The sequence below is a fragment of the Homo sapiens genome, chromosome 13, assembly GCF_000001405.40.
Source record: "Homo sapiens chromosome 13, GRCh38.p14 Primary Assembly".
NCBI classification, from domain to species: domain Eukaryota; kingdom Metazoa; phylum Chordata; class Mammalia; order Primates; family Hominidae; genus Homo; species Homo sapiens.
Window position 1 is genome coordinate 108,286,326 of NC_000013.11, and position 18,678 is coordinate 108,305,003.

General features: G+C 33.6%; 1 protein-coding gene and 1 pseudogene across 3 annotated transcripts in view; one reads left to right on the forward strand and one right to left on the reverse strand.

Annotated features, from left to right (window-relative positions):
* Positions 1-18,678, forward strand: part of TNFSF13B (TNF superfamily member 13b) — a 38,856-nt gene that overhangs the window by 16,697 nt on the left and 3,481 nt on the right. The window contains exons 3-5 of one of the 3 annotated variants that reach the window (XM_047430055.1): positions 478-534; positions 16,451-16,568; positions 16,928-17,006. In XM_047430055.1, the coding sequence (XP_047286011.1) occupies positions 478-534; positions 16,451-16,568; position 16,928 (176 nt within the window). In that variant the 3' untranslated portion in view covers positions 16,929-17,006. Of the gene's footprint in view, positions 1-477; positions 535-16,450; positions 16,569-16,927; positions 17,041-17,128; positions 17,280-18,678 lie in introns of those variants that run through there. The other 2 variants (NM_006573.5, NM_001145645.2) reach the window with 2 other exon arrangements.
* On the reverse strand, positions 14,887-15,006 carry RNA5SP39 (RNA, 5S ribosomal pseudogene 39; annotated as a pseudogene).

Sequence of the window (18,678 nt, forward strand, 5' to 3'; positions counted from 1 at the left end):
CACTTAAATCTGTTCAATACGTATTAGCATTTTTTTTTTTACTTTCATAAGTGTCAGAAATAGTATTTTCTGTAGTAGTAGGTCATTATTTAATGTTAGATTTTTTAAAACCAAAGATTGTTTAGAATGTTCTTATAAGGTTAACTGTTTCATGTATTTGGTAGACTTGCAAAACAAATGATTAAACTTGCTTTCTCTTCAGCCATTTCTCAGAGCAAATTAGGTTAAACTGTAAGGGTGATATTATATTTTAACAGCACATAGAGCTTTTCTGAAATGTCATGAATTTCATATATATATATCATATATATAAATCAATGGGCAAATATAAAGTAACTTTAAGAATAATGTCATGCAATCAATGTAAAAAGTATAATTGATTTAGTGTTTCTGGAAGAGTGGGTTTCTAGCTTTGTGTTCTCAGTTTCTTTATTATTTCTACTCAAGTAACTAAAATGATAAATTTTTGCTTTTTAGTCACTCAAGACTGCTTGCAACTGATTGCAGACAGTGAAACACCAACTATACAAAAAGGTAATAAAATATAGCAAAGACTTGGAACCAAGCCAAATGTCCATCAATGATAGACTGGATTAAGAAAATGTGGCACATATACGCTATGGAATACTATGCAGCCATAAAAAATGATGAGTTCATGTCCTTTGTAGGGACATGGATGAAGCTGGAAACCATCATTCTCAGCAAGCTATCGCATGTTCTCACTCATAGGTGGGAACTGAACAATGAGAACACATGGATACAGGAAGGGGAACATCACACACCGGGGCCTGTTGTGGGGTGGGGGGAGGGGGGAGGGATAGCATTAGGAGATATACCTACTGTTAAATGACGAGTTAATGGGTGCAGCACACCAACATGGCACATGTATACATATGAAACTAACCTGCATGTTGTGCACATGTACCCTAAAACTTAAAGTATAATAAAAACAAATAAAATATCCCCAGTACTTTTTCCACTTAGAATTCAGTCCACTCCAAATATTTGTAAGTTTCAAGTCTAAAGACTGTATTTGAATTGCATGTAAAATCAATCAGCCATCTCAGAACTTCTTATAATCAGGTAAAAAATAATAAACCTACATTTATTCAAAATGACTTGGGAATAAATAATAATTAAGACCAAAGTAATAATCTAATAAGGAGAATGACCTTAGAGGCACGAATACTTAGAAATGTTAAATAATTAAACTACAATAAAATAAAAACCAATAATAAATCAAATTCCATTTTTATTATTTAGACAGCATTTTATCTTTAAGAATGACTCAAGACCATCTTCACAAATATGAATTCTCCTGTTATATTCAATTGTAAAAATCATAGAAAGAGGAAAATAAAACTGAACAGATTATTAAAAATCTGTATTTTTAAAATAAATTTCCAACATCAAATTATTGCTTGATAATTTACCGTTTTCTCACAGAGGTAGAATGTTTTACATTTTTCAGTTATTTGAAGCCTTTTTTAGTTTTAATTTTAGACAAGTTAAGTGTTTTCCATAATAATGGCCTGAAACCAGGTTTACAAAGAAACAACTTTTAATGTCATTTCCCAATATGTGTCACCTAGAATGTTAATCCAGAGAAATGGTCCTTGAAATAAGAGTTTCAGTGTCGTATAAGTTTGGAAACACAGCATCTTACATATTTTTCTTTGAGTCACAAGGCACATTAGCAAGTTATTGAATCTAAGTAGTCCTACTTTAAAAAATGTTTGTTTAACTTTGTTTCATCCAGTTTTTCACAAATTTTTGTGACTATGCTGCTTTATCATGTATCGACCTCTCTCTGAAAGCAAATGGGAATTGATGCTCTATAATAGCATTTGTTTATATAAGATAACTAGTGAACAAAAATGTACTAAAAAAGAACCATTCGTTCACTCACACATTCATTGATTCATTTAGTTTACATTTATTAATTAAGAATATACAATATTTTAATTACTGTATGTTTACTGGGTGTATCAGTGACTAAAATATGCACAAATGCTCCTTGGCTTACAATGGAGTTATGTCCTGATAAACCCATCCTAAGCTGAAAATAACGGGCCTTGAAAAAAGCAGTTAGGACATCTAACTTACCAAATATCATAGCTTAGTCTAGCCTACCATAAATGTGCTCAGAACACTTACATTAGTCTACAATTGGGCAAAATCATCTAACATGAAGCCCATTTTATAGTAAAGTATTGAGTAGCTCATGTTGTGTTTTGAATACTGGAATGAAGTATGATTTCTCCTGAATGTATGTGGCTTTCACACCTTTGTAAAGTTGAAGATTCTAAGCCAAACCATCGCAAGTCCATATGCATGGTTTTCTACTTTGAAAGAGCTTACCTCTTGATGAGGAGAAAACAAACGAAAGGCCCAACAACCCACAAATGAACAAGTAAAATGTAGATGAGACGAAATGCTGTGGAGGGCAGCAAAGCAGGCGGGGGCAGGAGAAAGTTTTGTGTTGTGAACGAACTACGAGTTCAGGAGTATCTGGAGGTTAGGCTAGGCGATGAGGAATGGGCAAAACAACACTAGCACAGATGATGAATGTGAGTTGGCACTGGTAATGATTCCCTGGCATGCTCTTTTCATCTGTGTTTTTTTCTGCGTGACTTTAATTGTCCTAAATGCAACACAAGTACTAAACTACTTGTAAATCTATTATTTATTGTTCAACATTTTCCTAAATCATGTTTGCAACTTTTAATAAGCAGCACACTGTTTCCTAAGAAGTAAAAGAAAGCCAGAAGATCTTAAGGGCCAAAGTTACAGTTTTTAAAAATTCTTTTGAAAAGGTTTACTTTACACATCTCTCCCCCACCCCCCAAAATGCTATAAATTGCACCAAATTATGCAGCTGCTATACTCCAATGTGCGTGTGAACTGGAGAGTATGCTGTGATCTTCCTGGAGTGGTGACTGCTTGCCACAGATCCAGGGGTGCTGAACTGGGGTGATTACCTGGGATGCTTGCTTGCAGTGCTCCAACCTTTAGGATGGACAGGTTGCCCTTGTGATGTCAGCAAACCCTTGACCAGTATATAAATGTGAGTGTGCATGGGCATTTAGCAGGCAGATTGCATTTAGCAGGTAGGTTGCATTTTGTTAAAAAAGGCTGTACTCACTAAAGCATTTTACTTGCACAGGTCCATAAGAAGACTTCTGGGAAAAGATAATAATATATTATTAATATTATTAGCATATTATATGTAATTATATATTATATAATATATAATGTATTATAATAATTATATATAATAATATATTATTATCTTCTGGGGAAAGAATTTATATATATAAATATTATTAGCATATTGTATATATTATCTTATTGTATTATACATAACATCAGGTCTTGAGATGAAATCATGTTATGTATTCCAGAGACATGGAGATTCAAAGGAGCGGGGCTACGTTCATCTGATATTTTGAGTTCCTATGCTTGCTCTGCCCCATACTTTTGTCCAGACAGTGAGGGCAGAGGTAAACTTCACAAAAGAGAAAAAGACAAGAGGGGTTTATCAGAGTGTAGTCTCATGTCTTTTCTGTTCATTTGTTTTTTTGAATTTTAATCTAGATTTTGAATAGGTAATGCATTCACACGTTGCAAAAAATAAAAAAGCATGAAGAGTGTGGATTGCTCCTTTTCCCATCTGTTCCTGCCCACACTCACCTCACTTTCAGTTTCCTACATAGACTTCAGACTCCCTCTATGTTAACACAAACAAATGCAAATGTAGCTCTGCTTCCCTCCTTTCTTATAGTAAACACTTAAAAACCATATTTTCAATACATATGATTTGAAAATGAGATTATAACCTGCATTCTTTACTTAACAATGTATATTGCAGACATTTTGATGCCTGTGTACAGAGATCCTCATATGAAAAAAAAAGCAGCATAGTATTCCATTGTATGAATTGAATGTATTTAACCAGTCTCCTACCAATAGACTTCTTGGTGTCCATCTTTTGCAATGCAGGTGCTTCGAAAAATAATTGTGTGCATCCGTAACTTCTCATATGTCAGCCTATGTGTGGGACAGATTTTGAATTTTGACAGTTATTGCTAAGTGGTCCTATAGGGGTTGTAAAGTGTTATGCTATCACTTGCAGCAAAAGAGCATCAGGTGAAAAATAGCATCTCTTAATTTGCTTTCTTTCAAGCCATTCTTTTGTATGTTTTAAGAACCATTTGTATTTCTGTCTTTACATTCTTCCAATTTTTCATGTCTATTTTTATTTTTTTCTGTGAGCCATCTGTTCATATTTTTTTCCATTTTTTCGTTGGACTTGGTCATTTTTAAACTGATTTCTGTGAGCACCTTATATCTCAAGCAGATTAATTCTTTATATTACTAATTGCAAGCATTTCCTCCCATACTGTCATTTGTCTTAATTTTGCATACTTTTTTTTTCTGTCAAATTTGTCAATTTTTTTAAAGGATTCTGGATTTGGGTTGTGATTAGAAAGACCTTTTACACTTAAACGTATTAAGGAAAGATCTCGTGTTCCTTCTGAAACCTTTATAGTTATTTTCTACCTTTAAATACTTTATCTATTTGCAATTTATCCTGGTATAAGATGTAAGGTATGAAACCAACTTAATTTTCCCCTGTGAGGGCATCACAGTCTTTTTTTAATCGCCCATCTTTTCCAGACTGCTTGAAGACATTAACTTTAACTTTTATTAAATTCCATGTTTAGTCTATGTTTTTTTCACTTTTTAAATACTTTTCTGTTATACCATATTGACTTAATGTCTATTTATGCACCCCAATAAAATGGCATTTTGGTTACTAGGGCTTTGTATTATTTTCTGGTAAATTTAATTCACTCATTTTTTCTTTTTACTTCTAGAATTTTTCTTTTTTTTCTATTAAATATAGGAACTGTAGAATCAGCTTACTTAGTTAAAAAGAAAAAGAAAAATACGTGCTATTTTTGTTGAATCTCATATTTATAAATTAAGAAAAATACCCTCATGATAACAGATGTACAGATCAAATCCAAGAACATGATATATATTTATATTTTTTTAGTCTCCTTTTTTTTCTTTTAGTATGTATTGAAATTTTCTTCAAGAAGTTCTTGCATATTTCTTATTAATATCATTACAAAGTGTTTTACCTTTTCAAATGCTATGATAAATAGAAACATTTTCTTTCATTATATTTTCCAGCTGGTTGTTCTTTTTGTGTATAAAAGCCTTGAATTCCATGATATATCTTTTCAATATTAAAGTTGAAATGTTTTCTTTTATTTTTGGATTGCATTTCCCTAGCATGACTTTGCCCAAAATTTTACTTTTAACTTCTCTGAAATAATTTTTCTGTGTTTCTCATGTATGCAAAACAGAGTTGCTCTTTGTTTTTTGATATCATCTTAAAATAATTTTCATTTATTGGGTGATATAAATCAATTTACATTTACTTATTTCAGAAATGTATTTGGCTTTTATTCATCATAATGTGCTATACTGTGTATTGTTTTTCATGTTAACAAAAGAGTTTCTATTTTATAGTTTTAAAGAGGTTGCTTACTATGTAGGCTATTTGCTTTGCTTTTTCTGTTAGCGTAGACTTCTAAATGCTAAATACTAGGGGTAGCTACCTTTTCAGTTATATCTTTTTATTGAAATTAAATTCATATAACATAAAATTAAATGCACAATTCATTGTAATGTAGTATTCACAATATTTTACAACCACCAACTCTCTCTAGCTCCAAAATATTTTCTTCAGCCCCAGAGAAAATCCTGTATCCATTAAGCAATCAGTTACCATTTCTCTGTCTCCCCATGCCCCTGTACCAGCAATCTGCTTTATGTCTCTGTGGATTCACCTATTTTAGATGGTTTATATAAAGGCAGTCACACAATACGTGACTTTTAGTGCCTGGCTTCTTTCACTTAGCATGATGTTTTGAGGTTCACCCACATTCTAGCATGTATTCATACTTCATGCCTCTGTATGAATGTATATCATTCTATTATAAGTAAGCCATAATTTCATTAAGGGTATTTGGTTTGTTTCCACCTTTTGGCTATTGTGAGTAGTGATCCTGTGAACATTTGCATAAAGTACTTCCTGAGTGCCTCTTTTCAATTATTTGGAGTATACATCGATGAATCGATGAGTAGAATTGCTGAGAAAATGTCAACCTGTTCTCTACAGTGCTGCAACATTTTGCCTTCCCCCCAGCAATGTACTAGTGTTCTAATTTTTCCACATCCTCACTGACACATCTTATTTTCAATGTTTTTATTAGTATTGCCTTCCTACTGGGTGTGAAGCCATATCTCTGTTATTTATTTGCATTTTCCTTATGACTGATGATGTTGAGCATCTTTTCATGTCCTTTTTGGTGTCTTCTTTGGAAAAATGTCTATTCAAGTACCTTGTCCATGTGTTTTAATTGGGTTGTTTGTCTTTTTGTTGTTGAGTTGTAAAACTTCCTTATATATTATGGATACAAGACCCTTATCAAATATCTGATTTGCAAGTATTTTCTCCTCTTTTGTGGATTATCTTTTTACTTTCTTGAGAATGTCATTTGAGGCACAAGAGTGTTGTACATCAGATAAATGAAGTAAAATTTATCTTTTTTTTGTTTCTTGTGATTTTAGTGTTATCATTGAAGAACTCATTGCCAAATTCAACATCATGATTCACCCATATGTTTTCTTCTAAGAGTCTTGTAGTTTTATGTCTTATATTTAGGTAATTAATCTATTTTAATTCATTTTTGTATATGGTGTGAAGCAGAGGTCCAAAATCATCTTTTAGCATGAGGATATCTAGTTGTCCCAACATCATTTGTTGAAGAAGATGATTTCTTCCACATTGAACGGTCTTGGCACACTTGTTAAAAATCAGTTGTACGTAGATGTATGGGTTTATTTCTGTACTCTCAAATTTATTTTGTTTCTTTATACACCTCGCCTTATGCTGGACCACTATACTATTTGGATTACTGTTATGTTATAGTAAATTTTGAAATTTAGGATAGTGAATCCTTCAATCTTGTTATTTATTTTTAAGATTGTTTTGGCTATTTGATACTCTTTTGCAATAACAAATGAATTGTAAGGCTGGCTTTTTCATTTTGGAGAACAAAAGGTCACTGAAATTTGTATATGGATTAGACTGAATCTGTACATAATACTGAGTATTACTGCCATCTTAAACTAAATCTATCAATCCATGAACACAAGATATCTTCTCTTTTATTTATATGTCCTATCATTTCTTATAGCAATCTTTTGTAGTGTTCAGTGTTAAAGTGTTTTATGTCCTTGGGTAAATTTACTTCTAGGTGTTATGTTCTTTTGAATGCTGTTTAGTCAGTTCAGTTTGCTATAACATATTACACTAGACTGAGTGGATTAAACAATAAAAATGTATTTCTCACACTTCTGGAGGCTGGAAAATTCAAGATTAAGGTGCCAACAGATTTGGTTTGTGAATGGTGGTCTTTTCATTGTGTTTTCACATGGCTGAGAACAGAGACAAAAGCAAGTTCTTGTGTCTTTTCTTATAAGGACATTAACCCATCCTGAAGGCTGTGCTACCACAGCCTAGTTATTTCCCAAAGGCACCACCCCCTAATACCATCACATTGGAAGTTAGAATTTCAACATATCAATTTTGGGTGACAGAAATATTCAATCCATAACGGATGCTACTGTAAATGGGATTCTTTTTTAAAATTTCCTTTTTAGATTATTCATTCCTGGTATATTGAAACACAACAGATTTTTGAGTGTTGATCTTGTACCCTGAAACTTAACTGAATTCATTGATTAGTTTTAGTAGATTTTTTTGTAAATTCATGGATTTTTTTTTTTTTTGAGATGGAGTTTTGCTCTGTTGCCCAAGCTGGAGTGTAATGGCATGATCTTAACTCACAGCAACATCTGCCTCCTGGGTTCAAGTGATTCTCGCACCTCAGCCTCCCGAGTAGCTGGGATTACAGGCGCCTGCCACCACACCCAGCTAATTTTTGTATTTTCAGTAGAAACAGGGTTTCACCATGTTGGCCAGACTGATCTCGAACTTCTGACCTCAAGAGATCTTCCTGCCTCAGCCTCCCAAAGTGTTAGTATTACAGGCGTGAGCCACCATGCCTGGCTGGAAATTTTCTGTATATAGAATTATGATATCTGCAAATAGAGATCGTTTTACTACTCTCCTTGCATTTGGATTTTTTTTTTAATTTCCAGCATATGTTGAATAGCAGTGGTAAATGCAGGCATAGTCTTGTTTCTGATGTTAGGATAATCTTGAGGATTATTACCTTTATATTCATGGTTGATTCTGGCCTGTAGTTTTTTGTGGTGTCTTTGTGTGGCATTGATATCAGTGTAACTCTAGACATACAGAACAAGTTAGGAATGGTTCCCTTCTCTTTTACTGTTTTTTGGAAGAGTTTGAGAAGATTGATGTTAATTTTTCTTTAAATGTCTAGTAAAATTCACCAGTAAAACCATCTAGTTATGAATTTTGAGGGAAGACTTGGATTAATTAAAACTCTACACTGGTTATAGGTCTGTTTAGGTTTTTTATTTATTTTTGAGTCAGTTTTGGTAGTTTGTGTGTTTCTAGGAATTTGTCCCATTTGTCTACATTATCTAATTTGTTGGAGTACAATTATTATAAATAATAAAAAGGTATAGACATTTTATTTCCAATGGGCCATTAATAATACCTCCATTTTCTTTAATGATTTTATTAATTGGAGTATTTTCTCTTTTATTGGTCAATGTAGCTCAATGATTGTCATTTTTGTTCATATTTTTCAAAAAACCAGTTTTCAGTGTTATTGTTTCGTCTTTTTCTGTTCTTTTTTTGAGATGGAGTCTCCGTCACCCAGCCTGGAGTGCAATGGTGCGATCTCGGCTCACTGCAACCTTTGCCTCCCAGGTTCAGGCGATTCTCCTGCCTCAGCCTCCCAAGTAGCTGGGACTACAGGCATGTGCCACCAAGCCTAGCTATTTTTATTTATTTATTTATTTTTTGTATTTTTAGTAGAGACTGGATTTCACCATGTTGGTCAGACTGGTCTCCAACTCCTTACCTCAAATGATTCACCCGCCTTGGCCTCTCAAAATGCTGGGATTGCATGTGAGCCACCGCACCCAGTCCTTTTTGTACTCTTTATTCCATCTACCTTCTTTATTATTACCTTCTTTATTATATTATCTGATCTTTATTATTTTCTTCCTTCTGTCAATTTTGGGCTTAGTTTCTTCTTCTATTTCTATTTCCTTAAGCTGAACTTAGGATATTATGTTGAGATCTTTTTTTAACATAGGCATTTACAGTTGTACATTTCTTTCTGAGTGCTACTTTCACTGCTTCCTATGAATATTGCTATGCTGTGTTTTTATTTTCAATCATCTCAAAGTATTTTCTATTTTCTTCTAGGATTTATTTATAGATCAATTTGTTGTTTAAGAATTTGTTCAATTTTCACTTATTTGTGAGTTTTCCAATTTTCCTTATGTTATTGAAGGTAGCTAAAATGAATGCTTAATAGAGAGCCATTTCAGATTGAAAAACATAAACAGGTTTCAAGGTCAAAGGATGAAAAACATATCTTTTTAAAATACAAGATATTTGTGGAATTCAAATATTTTAAAATTTAATGAGAATTATTTTGTTGCATAACATGGTCTATCTTGGTCGATGTTCATGTGCATTTGAAAATATGTGTTCTGCTGATTTTAGGTGGAGTGTTTTCTATGTGTCTGTTAGGTTCAGTTAGTTTACAGTGTTGTTCAAGTTCACTATTGCCTTATTGATCTCTTACCTAGATGGTCTAGCTATTATTTCAGGTGAGATACTGAAATCTTCAGCTGTTACTATAGAAATGTCTATTTCTCCTTTCGGTTCAGCCAATATCTGCTTATATCTTGAGGTTCTGTTGAGTGATGTTTATAATTATTAGGTATTCTTGATACATTGACTCTGTTATCAATATTTAATACTCTCTTTGTTTCATAAAAATTTTTGGCTTAACATGTATTTATTCTGATATCAGTATTAGCCATCCCTGTTATCTTTGGCTGCTATTTGCAAGGAGGCATATTTGTCATCCTTTAATCTTGAAACCTTGAAACACAAAAACCTGTTTGTGTTTTTGAATCTGAAGTGAGTCTCTGGTAGGCAGAATATAATTAGATCATGAGTTTGGGCTTTTAAAAAAATTATTTTACCAATCTCTGTATTTTAATTGCCAAATTTAAATTTAGCTCATTTATATTTAAAGTGATTACTGATAAGGAAAGAATTACTTATGTTGCTGTTTGTTCTTTTATAAGTTTTGTTCCTCAATTCCTTTATTACCTCTTTATTTTGTTTTTAATAGACTTTTATAAGTACATCATTTTGTTTTTCTCTTAATTTCTTTTTGTGCATTTTTAAAAGTCATTATCATAGTTGTTATTCTGGTGATCACAATAAACATCCTAAATTTATAACAATGTGGTTTGAATTGATAACAACTTAGCTTCTCTCTTATGTTGTTATTGTCACAAAATATACGCTTATACATTGTAAGCCCTTAACATAAATTAATAATTATTATTTTATGTATTTGCCTTTTAAATAGTATAGGAAACAAAAGGAGAAGTTAAAAACTAAAAATACACTTACAATGGCTTTTATATTTGCCTATGTATGTACCTTTACTTGTATTCTTTATTTCTTCATATGTCTTTCAATTCTCACTTAGTGCTTTTTGTTTTATTTCTATCTCCTTTAGCATTTCTCACAGGGTAAGTCTGCTACCAATGAACTCTCTCAGTTTTTCTTTATTTGAGAACATCTTAATTTTTCTTCACATTTTAAGGATATTTTCCCACATATAGAATACATGGTAGACAGTGTTTTTCATTCAGTACTTTAAATATGTAATTCCCCTGGCTTCTGGCCTCCATGGTTTTTGATGACAAATCAGCTATTAATCTTATTCAGCATATTTTATATTTGATGAATTGCCTCTCTTTCTGCTTTCAAGATCTCCTCCTTGTCATTATCTTTTAATAGCTTGATTTTAAGAAGTCTTGGTAGGAATCTTTTGTGTTTACCCTTCTTGGAGTTTACTGAATTTTCTTAGATGTGTACATTCATGACTTTCTTCAGCGTTGGAAAGAGTTTGGCCATTATTTCTCCAAATATTCTTTTTTCAAATTTTCTCTCTCTTCTCCTTCTGTAACTCTCATAATGCCTATGTTCATCTGCTTAATGTATCCTGGGGGTCTCTTATAATCTGTTCACTTTTCTTTTTTCTTTTTTATTTTAACTTTATTTTTAGAGCCATTTTAGATTCACAGAAAAATTGAAAGGAAGGTACAGAGATATCTCATAGACCTCATATTCCCTACGGATGCATATCCTCCCCCATTATCAAAATCCCCCACCAGAGTGATACATTTGTTACAACTGATAAACCTACACTAATATATCATTATCATCCAGAGTCCACAGTTTACATTAGGGTTCACCTTAATGTTTTACTTTCTATAGGTTAGCACAAATGCATAATGGCATGTATCCACCATTGTAGTATTAGAGTATTTTCACTGTCCTAAAAATTCTCTGTGCTTCACTCCAACTACCTTTCCCTTTCCACTGCTTATCCCCTGGAAATGGCATTTTTTAAATGTCTCTGTAGTTTTAACTTTGTTCCAGAGTGCCATGTTGTTGGAATTGCACAGTATGTAACATTTTTATTTTCACTTCTTTTTTTTAGTAATAGCAATTTAAGTTTCCTTCATGATATATCAGTGTAGGTTTATCAATTGTAATAAATGTATCACTCTGGTGGGGGATTTTGATAATGGGAGAGTATCTGTAGGGAGTATGAGGTCTATGAGATATCACTGTACCTTCCTCTCAGTTTTTCTGTGAATCTAAAATGGCTCTAAAAATGAAGTTAAAAAAGAATAACGAAAAGTGAACAGATTATAAGAGACCCCCCAGGATACATTAAACTGATGAACATATGCATTATGAGAGTCACAGAAGGAGAAGAGAGTTAAAATCTGAATAAATAATATTTGGAGAAATAATGGCCAAACTCTTTCCAATGTTGAAGAAAGTCATAAATTTACATATCTAAAAAGTTCAGTAAACTTCAAGGAGGGTAAAGACAAAAAGATTCCAAATCTTATTAAAATCAATTATAGTAAGTCTTGAAGTAGAGTAGTGTTAGTTCTCCCATTTTGTTCTTATCCTTTAATATTATGTTGGCATTTCTGTGTCTTTTGCTTCTCTATATATTCTTTAGACTCAGTTTGTTGATATTCAACTTGCTTTGATTTTGATTAAGATTGCATTGAGTCACCTGGGCACGGTAGCTCATGCCTGTAATCCCAGCACTTTGGGAGGCCAAGGCAGGATCACAAGGTCGGGAGTTTGAGACCAGCCTGGCCAATATGGTGAAACCCCTCTCTACTAAAAATACAAAACTTAGCCCGGCGTAGTGGCACTTGCCTGTAGTCGCAGCTACTCGGGAGGCTGAGGCAGGAGAATCACTCGAACCCCAGAGGCAGAGGTTGCAGTAAGCCAAGATGGCACCCCTGTCTCCAGCCTGGGCGACAGAGCAAGACTTGGGAAAAACAAACAAACAAACAAACAAAAAACAAACAAACAAACAAAACATTGCATTGAATCTACAGGAAGAACTGACATCTTGACAATATTGAGTCTTCCTATTCATAAACATGGAATAGCTCTCCATTTATTTAGTTCTTTAAATCTTTTACATATTTTGTTGGATTATTCCTCAGTATTTCATTTTTTGAGGTAATAATCTCAATGCCATTATGTTTTTAATTTCAAATTCCACTTGTTTATTACTGGTAGAAAAGTGTTAGATCACTGGTAGAAAAGTGATTCGCTATTGAGTATTAATCTTGTAATAATGACTTTATTCTTTTGGTCCGCTGAGTAGTTCATAATTTTCTCTTTCTTTGTATGCCTTGAAGTTTCTTCTTGAAAAGTGAACAGTTAGGCAGTTAGGATGTTACAATGTAGCAAATCTGGAAATCAAAATTACTCCCATCCTCAGGGTTTTCTGTTAATGGATGTGGACTGCAGTTGTTCACTTGTTTAGTAATTTTTCCAAAATACTTTTTTTTTTGTTTGCCTAGACTCTATTCCTTGTCCTGTGTGGACACAGGAGTCCTTCTTCTATTATCTCTTTTGTTGGCCTGGTAGAGATGATTTTATCGCTAATCCTCATCCTGACAGAGATTTCGTTAAACATTAAAAGTCAAAAAATAAAAATAAAAATCTCTCCTGGTATTTACAAACAGCCTCTGAACTGGGGTATTTCTTCAAACTTTCACTAGGCTGTCTGCAGTTAAACTTAGTCTTTACCTCCTGTTTGCAGAGAGCCCAGGTAGGTATGTGGATGTGCGTATGTGTGTGTGTGGATGTTGGAGGAATAAAGACAATATATAAAAATAAGTAAACATGTTCTCTATCACTTTAATAAGATTATTGCCAGAAAGAGATGATAAAATGCCTAAATAAAATGTTAAGAGACAGTAAGAATAGAGACCTACTAAGTATTTGTTTTATTTTCTAGGCTGACAATGCACCAGTGACATTTACTAAGAAGTGGGTCTTTAATTTTATACATATAAATTTAATGTAAAAAATCTAACAAATCAATCTAAATTATTATAAAATTTTAGTAAACAAATATCTCTAGCCAGAATGTAAACAAGTGGTTTTAGAAATTTGTATTTTACTTAAATTTAAGAGAATATACTACCTCTATGATGGAGGGCATTTCATTACCAAGAATTTCAGTAACTTGGTATTAAAATGCTTTTAAAAAAACAATTGAATACCTGTGATTAATTTTTACAGTACATTGCTATTTTGAATTATATTATGTTTAAATTTGAATTCATTAATTTAATAAATATTTGCTGCATGTCTACTGTGGGTCAGTCATGATGTTAAGCCCTGGGAAAATGACAGGGAACCAAACATAAATGGCCCTTTAGCTCAGAAAATTTAGTATCTCTCAAGTATATTATTTTTTTAAAAGCTCTCTTCCCTCCAAGCATCAAATGAATATCATTAAACTATGAAAGCAACTGCCTTGGTGAAGTCATCAGTTTGTGTTTTACAATAATGACAGTAACTGTATTAACTCTTCCTCATTTTTCAGCACTCCAAAAAGTGCTTTGCATACATTATGTCATTTAAACAAAATTAAAAACTATTTTATTATAATCTTTTCACTGAAATTATATCGTAAAAGAGGCGATGATGATTTTGCATTTGTAATTTGTCATTGAGGTGATCTTGTGTTAACTATTACTATACAAGAGGGCTTTTCTTTTAAGGAAAATATTCCCTTCTTTGGGAAAAGCCAATTAGACCTGCCCATATCAAGGCACATTCACCCTTGGTGAGAGACAGTGACAGAGGTGGCTCCTGGGAGTGAGCAAGAAGCACAGGCCGACAAGAACATGTGCTGAAGAAGACCTGGGAAGTTTCTTGATCCACCCATAGATCCTCCATCCTTCCTCTGCACTCTCCCTGACATCTTTCCTCCCTCTGTCTATGGTAATAGGAACTCAAAGATCTGACTAGGGAAATGTTATTTATTTCAACTTGAATTTACAATGTAATTTGCTTGGTTATCACCTAGGATTCTTACTCCTTAGAAACAATCAGAAATATGTGGTTCTTATTTTATATTCTTCCCTCCATAATCTTATTTGGAATGGGAATATAAATTAGTGTAGCCATTATGAAAAATAGTACACAAGTTTCTTTAAAAATTAAAAATAAAATACCATATGATCCAGCAATCCCACTACCAAGTATATATCCAAAGAAAATGAAATCAGTGTGTCAAAGAGATATCTCTCATCCAGGTACTAACCATGCCCAACTCTGCTTAGCTCCTGAGGTCAGACAAGATAGGGTGCATTCGGAGTGGTGTGACCATAGAAGAGATAACTGTACTTCAATGTTTATTGCAGAATTATTCACAATAGCCAAGATATTAAATCAACCTAAGTGTCCATCTGCAGATGAATGGATGAGGAAAATGTGCAATATATACACAGTGGAATACTATTCAGCATAAAAATAAGGAAACCCTGTTGTTTGCAGTAACATGGATGAACTTGGGGGACATTATAACAAGTGAAATAAGCACAGAAAGACAAATACTACATGATCTGACATATATGTGGAATCTAAAAAAAGTCAAATTCAAAGAAGTAGAGAGTAGAATGGTGTTGACCAGTGGCTGGGGTGGCGGGGGTGGAGGTGAAAAGACGTTGGTCAAAGATTACGAAATTTCAGTTAGACTGGAGGAATACGTTCAAGAGATCTCGTGTACAACATGGTGACTACAGTTAATGAAAATGTATTTTTGAAAAATGCTAAATGAGTAGATATTGTGTTCTCACCACAAAAATGACAACTGTACGAGGTAACATATATTTTAATTTACTTGACTCAGTCATTGCACAATGCCTATATATTTCAAGACATCATGTTGTACATGACAAATATGTACAATTTTATCTGTCAATTAAAACATAAGATCAAAAAAGAATTTTATTTGGAAAAAGTTTAAATATGTTTGGTTTGCCTTGGAAACACTATGTGAAGAAGGCATGTACACTTGGCAGTTGTATTTACAGAATGTGAACACACTGTTAGCTACCACATCATCCTGTGCCCCTCATGAAAACCCACAGGAAAAAATATTCTTTAATCTCAATTCTAGAAATATTGTTATCTTCTTGGGCTTCTAGCCTATTGTCTGTTGTGGATTCTGAATTTTATTATCAATTTTGTTTTCATTTTTGCTATGATCAGGATGAAATTTGGAGACAGGTATGGTTCACCATTACCAATTATATAGGGACATTTAAAGTATGATTTTAGACTAACTTCTATAGCTCTATTTTACTATTTTATCCTTATATTACAGTCCCTCAATCTTCTTTTTATTCATTTTACATCATTTAATTTATACTCCCCAAATTTCCCAATCTCCAGCCTTAGGGCTCACCCTTTATTCAACACACCCATGAGAAATCCAGGGAATGTAAAGTATGAATTCACAGGAAAGGAATGTCTCTGCTCTCTTAATGGGTTTTGATGTCTGAACGCACCTACAGATTCTGGCTCAGCAATGTAGTCCCCCCATGTGCCTACTCACTGATGGCTACTGTCTTCTCTCTGTCCCTTTCATCTCACCCTTGAGCACAGTGGTCTCCTTGTCACTACCCAAGTGACTTTTGATGGGTAATGGAGGAGAATTATCACTGAACTGAACAGAAGCCATTGAAACTCAAATATCATAGATGGTTGTTACAAAGTTCCTTGACCGTTCTTAGTAAAGGTTGTGTCTTAGTCACTTTCTTCTTTCTTCCGTAGGCTCCCTTCTGTTGCCACATTTGGGCCAAGGAATGGAGAGATTTCTTCGTCTGGAAACATTTTGCCAAACTCTTCAGATACTCTTTCCTCTCTGGGAATCAAAGGAAAATCTCTACTAGTGTGTTATTCAGAGAAATTTTGTCCACTCTTTGCTTCAAACTCTCTTATCCAGATCAGCCTTTATTATGAAATAGCCGAAATATAGACCAATAAAGGGAAAACCCAGACATTCATATAAAGGGTTAGCTCTCAGGTTCTTGTATCTGATATATTAACCCAGGTTAACATATAAGTGATGGCAAAGAATCCAGTGCAGTAATGTGACTTGTATTCCTTTTTCCTTTTTTTTCTTTCTTTCTTTCTTTTTTTTTTAGGATGGAATTATCTTCTAAGTTTCAGAGGTAGCTTAACAACTAAATGGAGGTGAAAACTGCTTTTCTTGGTTTCTTTCCTTATAAATGATTCTCTTCATTGCAGGATCTTACACATTTGTTCCATGGCTTCTCAGCTTTAAAAGGGGAAGTGCCCTAGAAGAAAAAGAGAATAAAATATTGGTCAAAGAAACTGGTTACTTTTTTATATATGGTCAGGTAGGTTGAAACCCTAATTCTGGTTTTACTGTTCAAAGCCTCCCATTTTGTGTTCATTTCTGACACAGTTTTTTGGTTTGTTTCTTAGGTTTTATATACTGATAAGACCTACGCCATGGGACATCTAATTCAGAGGAAGAAGGTCCATGTCTTTGGGGATGAATTGAGTCTGGTGACTTTGTTTCGATGTATTCAAAATATGCCTGAAACACTACCCAATAATTCCTGCTATTCAGCTGGTAAATATTAGTTCTCACACCCTGCTAATTGTGAAATGAAGAGACTTTGACGAAAAATCTGAGCTGCAAAATGCAAAAATGAAAGGATGGTGCCCTAAAATACAAATAGACAGAAAGACATTCCTCAATATATTGTGTTTTTTAAATCTTGAATAATAAGCTAGTCTGTTTTAATTGAGAAAGATGGAATTATTACTAATAGTTTTACCATTTTTATATACATTTAGAAAGGGTAGTAATTTCATAGCAACTTCTACCTTGTACATAATACATGGTACATAGTACTTCTACATAGTAACTTCTACATTGAGAAAAAATTCTAATGTATTTTCTTCAACACTTAATAACAACAATAATAATATCTGACAAGGATAGAGTGATTACCACTTGCCAGGCACTCTTTTCTGCATGTTATATATGCTTGCTTATTTAATCTTCGCATTTAAGGGAGTTAGGATCTAGGCACAGAGAAGTAACATAACTTGTCCCAGGTTACACAGCTAATTTTTAGACTTGGTTTAAACCAGCCAGTCTGGCTCCGCACCGGGAGCAACCAAAACTCTTCTTGCATGCTGTGGAAGAAATGCCCCTGGCCAGGCTTGAGGGTAAGGGAAAGTTGTACAATGGCTTCTTTCTAAATACAGGTGACATCTTGTGTCAGTGGACACCAGACAGGAGAAATGCCCCTGGCCAGGTTTGAGGGTAAGGGAAAGTTGTACAATGGCTTCTTTCTAAATAGCCACAAGTATTGACAATTCAGATGACATCTTGTGTCAGTGGACACCAGACAGGTGACTTAGGAATGCGAAAGTGTAGGCGCAAACCTACCTTTGCACCCAGGAGCAGTGAGAGGCAGAGAGCACGGCAGATCTTGTAAACTTTAGGTCTGTTTCAGCTGTAATTGCCAACATTTCCTTCATTTTATTTTTCAAGGGTGATTTAAAATTAATCCAGGCTGGTTTTGCAGAAAAATATTTACCTTAAACACATTTATTTTCTCTGTTGATTTTGTAAAAATCCAGAACCCTGAGGAATGGCTTCAGTTCCAGATGGTTACCGTGAATGACCGTGTGACACACAGGAACGGAGGCTGGCTATGCATTTTGAAAAACTGTATTTCAAAGGCATTTACAAACAAATGCCCAATAAGTCAGTTAGAAACTAAGGAAAATAGTTTCTAATAATGGAAATGATGTCATTCTGGATCTGCAGCCACAGATAGCATTGGTGGGGAGATGAGGAAGTTTATAAAATTAGAATTCCCTAACTTTCATAAAGAGATGTTTCCCTTCACCCAGTGCTGACTAGTAGTTTGGAGTTGCAAAATATTTATAAATGGTGAGACTACTCCAATCTGTTATTTATTTATATTTATTAGTACTAAAAATTTTACAAGTAA